The sequence below is a fragment of the Homo sapiens genome, chromosome 14 (genome assembly GCF_000001405.40).
Source record: "Homo sapiens chromosome 14, GRCh38.p14 Primary Assembly".
NCBI lineage: Eukaryota > Metazoa > Chordata > Mammalia > Primates > Hominidae > Homo > Homo sapiens.
Genome location: NC_000014.9, coordinates 20276290 through 20284985, shown reverse-complemented (window position 1 = coordinate 20284985; position 8696 = coordinate 20276290).

Here is an 8696-nt window from a genome sequence, read left to right as displayed (position 1 = left end):
TTCTCCATATGGCTAGCCAGTTTTCCCAGCACCATTTATTAAATAGGGAATTGTTTCCCCATTTCTTGTTTTTGTCAGGTTTGTCGAAGATCAGATAGTTGCAGATATGCAGCATTATTTCTGAGGGCTCTGTTCTGTTCCATTGGTCTATATCTCTGTTTTGGTACCAGTACCATGCTGTTTTGATTACTGTAGCCTTGTAGTATAGTTTGAAGTCAGGTAGCTTGATGCCTCCAGCTTTGTTCTTTTGGCTTAGGATTGACTTGGCTATGCGGGCTCTTTTTTGGTTCCATATGAACTTTAAAGTAGTTTTTTCCAATTCCGTGAAGAAAGTCATTGGTATCTTGATGGGGATGTCATTGAATCTATAAATTACCTTGAGCAGTATGGCCATTTTCACGATATTGATTCTTCCTACCCATGAGCATGGAATGTTCTTCTATTTGTTTGTATCCTCTTTTATTTCATTGAGCAGTGGTTTGTAGTTCTCCTTGAAGAGGTCCTTCATATCCCTGGTAAGTTGGATTCCTAGGTATTTTATTCTCTTTGAAGCAATTGTGAATGGGAGTTCACTCATGATTTGGCTCTCTGTTTGTTATTGGTGTATAAGAATGCTTGTGATTTTTGCACATTGATTTTGTATCCTGAGACTTTGCTGAAGTTGCTTATCAGCTTAAGGAGATTTTGGGCTGAGACAGTGGGGTTTTCTAGATACACAATCATGTCATCTGCAAACAGGGACAATTTGACTTCCTCTTTTCCTAATTGAATGCCCTTTATTTCCTTCTCCTGCCTAATTGCCCTGGCCAGAACTTCCAACACTATGTTGAATAGGAGTGGTGAGAGAGGGCATCCCTGTCTTGTGCCAGTTTTCAAAGGGAATGCTTCCAGTTTTTGTCCATTCAGTATGATATTGGCTGTGGGTTTGTCATAGATAGCTCTTATTATTTTGAGATACGTCCCATCAACACCTAATTTATTGAGAGTTTTTAGCATGAAGGGTTGTTGAATTTTGTCAAAGGCCTTTTCTGCATCTATTGAGATAATCATGTGGTTTTTGTCTTTGGTTCTGTTTATATGCTGGATTACATTTTTTGATTTGTGTGTGTTGAACCAGCCTTGCATCCCAGGGATGAAGCCCACTTGATCATGGTGGATAAACTTTTTGTTGTGTTGCTGGATTCAGTTTGCCAGTATTTTATTGAGGATTTTTGCATCAATGTTCATCAAGGATATTGGTCTAAAATTCTCTTTTTTTTGTTGTGTCTCTGCCAGACTTTGGTATCAGGGTGATGCTGGCCTCATAAAATGAGTTAGGGAGGATTCCCTCTTTTTCTATTGATTGGAATAGTTTCAGAAGGAATGGTACCAACTCCTCCTTGTACCTCTGGTAGAATTCAGCTGTGAATCCATCTGGTCCTGGACTTTTTTTGGTTGTTAAGCTATTGATTATTGCCACAATTTCAGAGCCTGTTGTTGGTCTATTCAGAGATTCAACTTCTTCTGGGTTTAGTCTTGGGAGAGTGTATGTGTTGAGGAATTTATCCGTTTCTTCTAGATGTTCTAGTTTATTTGTGTAGAGATGTTTATAGTATTCTCTGATGGTAGTTTGTATTTCTGTGGGATCAGTGGTGATATCCCCTTTGTCATTTTTTATTGCATCTATTTGATTCTTCTCTCTTTTCTGCTTTATTAGTCTTGCTAGCGGTCTATCAATTTTGTTGATCTTTTCAAAAAACCAGCTCCTGGATTCATTGGTTTTTGGAAGGGTTTTTTGTGTCTCTATTTCCTTCAGTTCTGCTCTGATCTTAGTTATTTCTTGCCTTCTGCTAGCTGTTGAATGTGTTTGCTCTTGCTTCTCTAGTTCTTTTAATTGTGATGTTAGGGTGTCAATTTTAGATCTTTCCTGCTTTCTCTCATGGGCATTTAGTGCTATAAATTTCCCTCTACACACTGCTTTGAATGTGTCCCAGAGATTCTGGTATGTTGTGTCTTTGTTCTTGTTGGTTTCAAAGAACATCTTTATTTCTGCCTTCATTTCATTATGTACCCAGTAGTCATTCAGGAGCAGGTTGTTCAGTTTCCATGTAGTTGAGCCGTTTTGAGTGAGTTTCTGAATCCTGAGGTCTAGTTTGATTGCACTGTGGTCTGAGAGAGAGTTTGTTATAATTTCTGTTCTTTTACATTTGCTGAGGAGAGCTTTACTTCCAACTATGTGGCCAATTTTGGAACAGGTGTGGTGTGGTGCTGAAAAGAATGTATATTCTGTTGATTTGGGGTGGAGAGTTCTGTAGATGTCTATTAGGTCCGCTTGGTGCAGAGCTGAGTTCAATTCCTGAATATCCTTGTTAACTGTCTCATTGATCTGTCTAATGTTGACAGTGTGGTGTTAAAGTCTCCCATTATTAATGTGTGGGAGTCTAAGTCTCTTTGTAGGTCACTAAGGACTTGCTTTATGAATCTTGGTGCTCCTGAATTGGGTGCATATATATTTAGGATAGTTAGCTCTTCTTGTTGAATTGATCCCTTTACCATTATGTAATGGCCTTCTTTGTCTCTTTTGATCTTTGTTAGTTTAAAGTCTGTTTTATCAGAGACTAGGATTGCAACCCCTGCCTTTTTTTGTTTTCCATTTGCTTGGTAGATCTTCCTCCATCCCTTTATTTTGAGCCTATGTGTGTCTCTGCATGTGAGATGGGTCTCCTGAATACAGCACACTGATGGGTCTTGACCCTTTATCCAATTTGCCAGTCTGTGCCTTTTAATTGGAGCATTTAGCCCATTTACATTTAAGGTTAGTATTGTTATGTGTGAATTTGATCCTGTCATTATGATGTTAGCTGGTTATTTTGCTCGTTAGTTGATGTAGTTTCTTCCTAGCCTTGATGGTCTTTATAATTTGGCATGTTTTTGCAGTGGCTGGTATTGGTTGTTCCTTTCCATGTTTAGTGCTTCCTTCAGGAGCTCTTTTAGGGCAGGCCTGGTGGTGACAAAATCTCTTAGCATTTGCTTGTCTGTAAAGTATTTTATTTCTCCTTCACTTATGAAGCTTAGTTTGGCTGGATATGAAATTGTGGGTTGAAAATTCTTTTCTTTAAGAATGTTGAATATCGGCCCCCACTCTCTTCTGGCTTGTAGAATTTCTGCCGAGAGATCAGCGGTTAGTCTGATGGGCTTCCCTTTGTGGGCAACCCGGTCTTTCTCTCTGGCTGCCCTTAACATTTTTTCCTCCATTTCAACTTTGGTGAATCTGAGAATTATGTGTCTTGGAGTTGCTCTTCTTGAGGAGTATCTTTGTGGTGTTCTCTGTATTTCCTGAATTTGAATGTTGGCCTTCCTTGCTAGATTGGGGAAGTTCTCCTGGATAATATCCTGCAGAGTGTTTTCCAACTTGGTTCCGTTCTCCCCATCACTTTCAGGTACACCAATCAGATGTAGATTTGGTCTTTTCACATAGTCCCATATTTCTTGGAGGCTTTGTTTATTTCTTTTTATTATTTTTTCTCTAAACTTCTTTTCATGCTTCATTTCATTCATTTCGTCTTCCATCACTGATACCCTTTCTTCCAGTTGATCGCATCGGTTACTGAGGCTTGCGCATTCGTCAGGTAGTTCTTGTGCTGTGGTTTTCAGCTCCATCAGCTCCTTTAAGGACTTCTCTGCATTGGTTATTCTAGTTATCCATTCATCTAATTTTTTTTTCAAAGTTTTTAACTTCTTTGTCATTGGTTCGAACTTCCTCCTTTAGCTTGGAGTAGTTTGATCTTCTGAAGCCTTCTTCTCTCAACTCGTCAAAGTCATTCTCCATCCAGCTTTGTTCCGTTGCTGTTAAGGAGCTGCGTTCCTTTGGAGGAGGAGAGGTGCTCTGATTTTTAGAGTTTCCGGTTTTTCTGCTCTGTTTTTTTCCTCATCTTTGTGGTTTTATCTACCTTTGGTCTTTGATAATGGTGACATACAGATGGGTTTTTGGTGTGGATGTCCTTTCTGTTTGTTAGTTTTCCTTCTAACAGTCAGGACCCTCAGCTGCAGGTCTGTTGGAGTTTACTGGAGGTCCACTCCAGACCCTGTTTGCCTGGGTATCAGCAGCAGTGGCTGCAGAACAGCGGATATTGTTGAACCGCAAATGCTACTGCCTGATCGTTATTCTGGAAGTTTTGTCTCAGAGGAGTACCCGGCCGTGTGACGTGTCAGTCCGCCCCTACTGGGGGGTGCCTCCCAGTTAGGCTACTCGGGGGTCAGGGACAGACTTGAGGAGGCAGTCTGCCCGTTCTCAGATCTCAAGCTGCGTGCTGGGAGAACCACTACTCTCTTCAAAGCTGTCAGACAGGGACATTTAAGTCTGCAGAGGTTATTGCTGTCTTTTGTTTGTCTGTGCCCTGCCCCCAGAGGTGGAGCCTACAGAGGCAGGCAGGCCTCCTTGAGCTGTGGTGGGCTCCACCCAGTTTGAGCTTCCTGGCCACTTTGTTTACCTAGTCAAGCCTGAGCAAATGGCAGGCGCCCCTCCCCCAGCCTGGCTGCCGCCTTGCAGTTTGATCTCAGACTTCTGTGCTAGCAATGAGTGAGGCTCCGTGGGCATAGGACTCTCCAAGCCCGGTGCGAGATATAATCTCCTGGTGTGCCGTTTGATAAGCCCATTGGAAAAGTGCAGTATTAGAGTGGGAGCAACCCGATTTTCCTGGTGCCATCTGTCACCCCTTTCTTTGACTAGAAAAGGGAATTCCCTGACCCTTTGCACTTCCTGGGTGAGGCGATGCCTCGCCCTGCTTCGGCTCATGCACGGTGTGCTGCACCCACTGTCCTGCACCCACTGTCCAGCACTCCCAGTGAGATGAACCCAGTACCTCAATTGGAAATGCAGAAATCACCCATCTTCTGCGTCGCTCACGCTGGGAGCTATAGACTGGAGCTGTTCCTATTCGGCCATCTTTGCTCCACCCCGCCCAGTCTGTCTTACACTGACTTTCCATCTCTCTCTCTCTCTTCCCTATCTTTCTGTCCATCCATCCATCCATCCATCCATCCATCCACCCACACTGATCTTTAAAGCCCAGACTGTCTTAATCAACTTTTCATATGTATCTCTGTTCTTGAGTTCTCTATTCTTTTTTTTTTTTTTTTTTTGAGACAGAGTCTCACTCTGTCACCCAGGCTGGAGTGCAGTAGCGCAATCATAGCTCACTGCAGCCTCGACCTCCCAGGATCAAGCAATCCTCTCACCTCAGCCTCCCAAGTTGTTGGGACTACAGGTGTGTGCCACTATCCCTGGCTAATTTTTTTAAAATATATTTTTTGTAGAGATAGGGTCTCGCCATGTTGCTCAGGCTGGTCTGGAACTCCTGAGCTCAAGTGATCCTCCCGACTTGGCCTCCCACAGTGTTGGGATTACAAGCATGAGCCACCACGCCTGGTCCTCTATTCTGATCTGTTCTGCTCTGTTTATTTTTATGCCAGTACTATATTGCCTTATAGTTTTATAAAAAGTCAGTATCTTTGGGAGGCCGAGGTGGGTGGATCACCTGAGGTCGGAAGTTCGAGACCAGCCTGACCAACATGGAGAAACCCCGTCTCTACTAAAAATACAAAATTAGGCGTGGTGGCGCACGCCTGTAATCCCAGCTACTCAGGAGGCTGAGGTAGGAGAATCCGTTGGACCCAGGAGGCGGAGGTTGTGGTGAGCTGAGATTGTGCCATTGTACTCCAGCCTAGGCAACAAAGAGTGAAACTCCGGCTCAAAAAAAAAAAAAAAAAATTATCTAATCAGACAAGTTATTTTATGTTGTTCTTCACAAGTGTTCCATTTACACTTTAAAATCAGCTTGTAACTTTTCATGAAAAATTCCAGGGACTTTAGTTGGGACTGCATTGAATTTACAGATAAGTTTAGGAAGAATAGGCATCCTTCATAATGTTGAGTCTTACCATTTTCTTTATGTAAGTCAGTCTTCTTCATTGTCTCTTTTTTTTGTGACTACGTAATTTTACTATTTCTGTAGTAGTTGCCAAATGGTGATATTCTAATTTCATTCTAATTTCTACATTTACTAACTGCAATCAGACTCACCCATTTTTAAAATCCTGGCTCTGCTCCTTGAGCTGTACAATCTTAGGGTACCATTAGGAAAGAAAAAAATGGTCAGCTCAGAATTTTGTTTCCAGTGAAAATGTGTATCTTTCCCTTGCTCTTTCTTTTCTCTCTTCCTGTCTGTTATTTCCTTCCCTCTGCTTTTGGCCACAGAGGTTGGCCTTGGTTGCTGGGTTACCTTAGTAGTAGGGTTAGAACAACCTAGAAGGCAATGCAGTGAGGGAAAAGGTGAGCAGAGAAGATGTGTGTTAGTGGTGTATTAGCCAGCTCCCAAGGATTCAAACAGGAAGTGGGGAGGTAGTCACATGGAGGCACGTTGGCAGCTAGCCAGCCAGCTAGCATCTGAGGACATGGAGGTATTAGGAGAAAGTAAGATAGAGACAGGGAACATCAGAGATGTGGTTATGAGATTGGATTTTGAAACACATAAGGTATAAATAAGTATGAACACTCTTGGTGTCTGCATAACATGCTCCATGACAGGGAATCATATTTCTTGATGAAATTGACAATATCAGTATGACATCTGGAATTGTCTGAGCCTAGAACCTCTTGTGTAAAAATATGAGCTTTAGAAGTCTCCCACTGGCCAAATCTGGCACATAAGCATGAAAATAAGTGATTGTAACAAAATGGAGCCCATTGGATAATATAATAAGTGAAGAGTATTTTTGATATGAAGATAAATAAAAAAATAGAAAAGTGAAGGAGAAGGGAATACTCCTTAGAGTAGACGTCAACTACAGGATGTCTAGAGCTGCCATTAGGCAATCATCATAGTATTAGATGGTTCAGATAGGAGTTATACAAAAAAGCTGGTTAGTGGAGATGTGATGAGGAACAGTTTACTGACATTGCCTTGAATATCTCTTATTCAATATAAAGTAAAAAGTGTAAATTAAAGCTGCATAGGGATGGCAGATGCCAACCAGACCAGGTCATTAATGGTTACGTCACCAGGGTGGGAGGGATAGCAAATGTGATCCCTGGTGGGAGGCACTAAGGGCACAGCACAATTTCTGTATTCTTCCCGCTAAGGGAACATCACTGAATCTGGTCATGAAGAATCATCAGAAAGACCCAGTAGAGGATCATTCAATTTCATGTAGGATATTGAGGGTGAGAAGTACAAGGAATGATGAAGAACAGTTTGAGACTGGAGAAGAAGAAAATGGTATGACTCCCGAATGCAACACATGTTCCAGGGTGCGGATCCTGTAGCAGAAAGGAAAACAAGACACTGTCACATGGGAGTGAACATCTGAAGGGCATCTGTGGCTTGGGCAGTCATGTTTTGCCATTGGTTTTTGCCTTAAGTGGTAGCATGATTATGTAGAGAAAATTTTGCCTTGGGGAAAACCACAATGGCAAATTTAGGGGTGGACACCATGCCTGCCCCTTTCATGTTTCAGAAAGAAATGAATAAAATGCAATAATATATAAAGCAAAAAAAGTTATAAAGCAAATGAGGTAAAGAGTTTAACAGCTGAGGAATCTGGGCAAATGATAAATATCCATACATTAGAAATTATTTCAAATTATTTTAAAAATTAAAAATGATTAATTCGCATTTGCTATGGTCCAAATGTATCCACCGAATTTCATATGTTAAAACTTAATTACCCATGTGATAAGAGGTGGGACTTTCAGGAGGTGATTAAGTCATGAAGACAGCTGTCAGGGACGAGAGTAGTGTCCTTTTAAAATGGCGTGAGAGAGCAGGTTCATACCTTTTTTGCCCTTCTGCCTTCTGCCAAGTGAGAATGCAGCAAGACAGCAGACACTGAATCTGGCACCTTCATCTTGGACTTCTCAGCCTGCAGAACTGTCAGAAATAAATTCGTTTTTTTATAAATTATCCACTATCAGGTATTTTCTTAGCAGAACTAACAAGCTATGAAAACATTGCATATTTTTGATTGTCAAAATGAAGTTGGATATTGTTAAATGTGTTTGAATTCTTTGATTTTGCTAAATACAATGGAATGATCTGCATTTTTTTCTCCACCCAGTTTGCTTTTGTTTCCTATTTTTAACATTTGTATAAATGTGAGGAGTACAAGTGCAGTTTTGTTACATGGATATATTGCTTAGCAGTGAAGCCTGGACTTTTAGTGTAAACATCACACAAATAGTGTACATTGTACCCATTAAGTAATTTCTCATTCTTCACCCACCTCCTACCTTCCCACCCCTCCAAGTCTCCAGTGACTATTACTCCACACTCTGTATCCATGTGTGTACACATTATTTAACTCATATAGTGAGAACAAGCTGTATTTTACTTTCTGAGTTGTTTCATTTAGGATAATGGTCTCCAGTTCCATCTATGTTGCTGCAAAATATATGATTTCATTCTTTTTTTATGGCCAAACGGTATTAAATTGTGTGTGTGTGTGTGTGTGTGTGTGTATATATATATATATATATATATATATATATATATATATATACACACATACATATATATATGTATATATATGTATATATATATATACACATATATGCATATGCATATGCATATATATATATACACACACACATATATGCATAGGTACACAAACACACACTCCATATTTTCTTTATCTAGTCATCCATTGATAGATATTTAGGT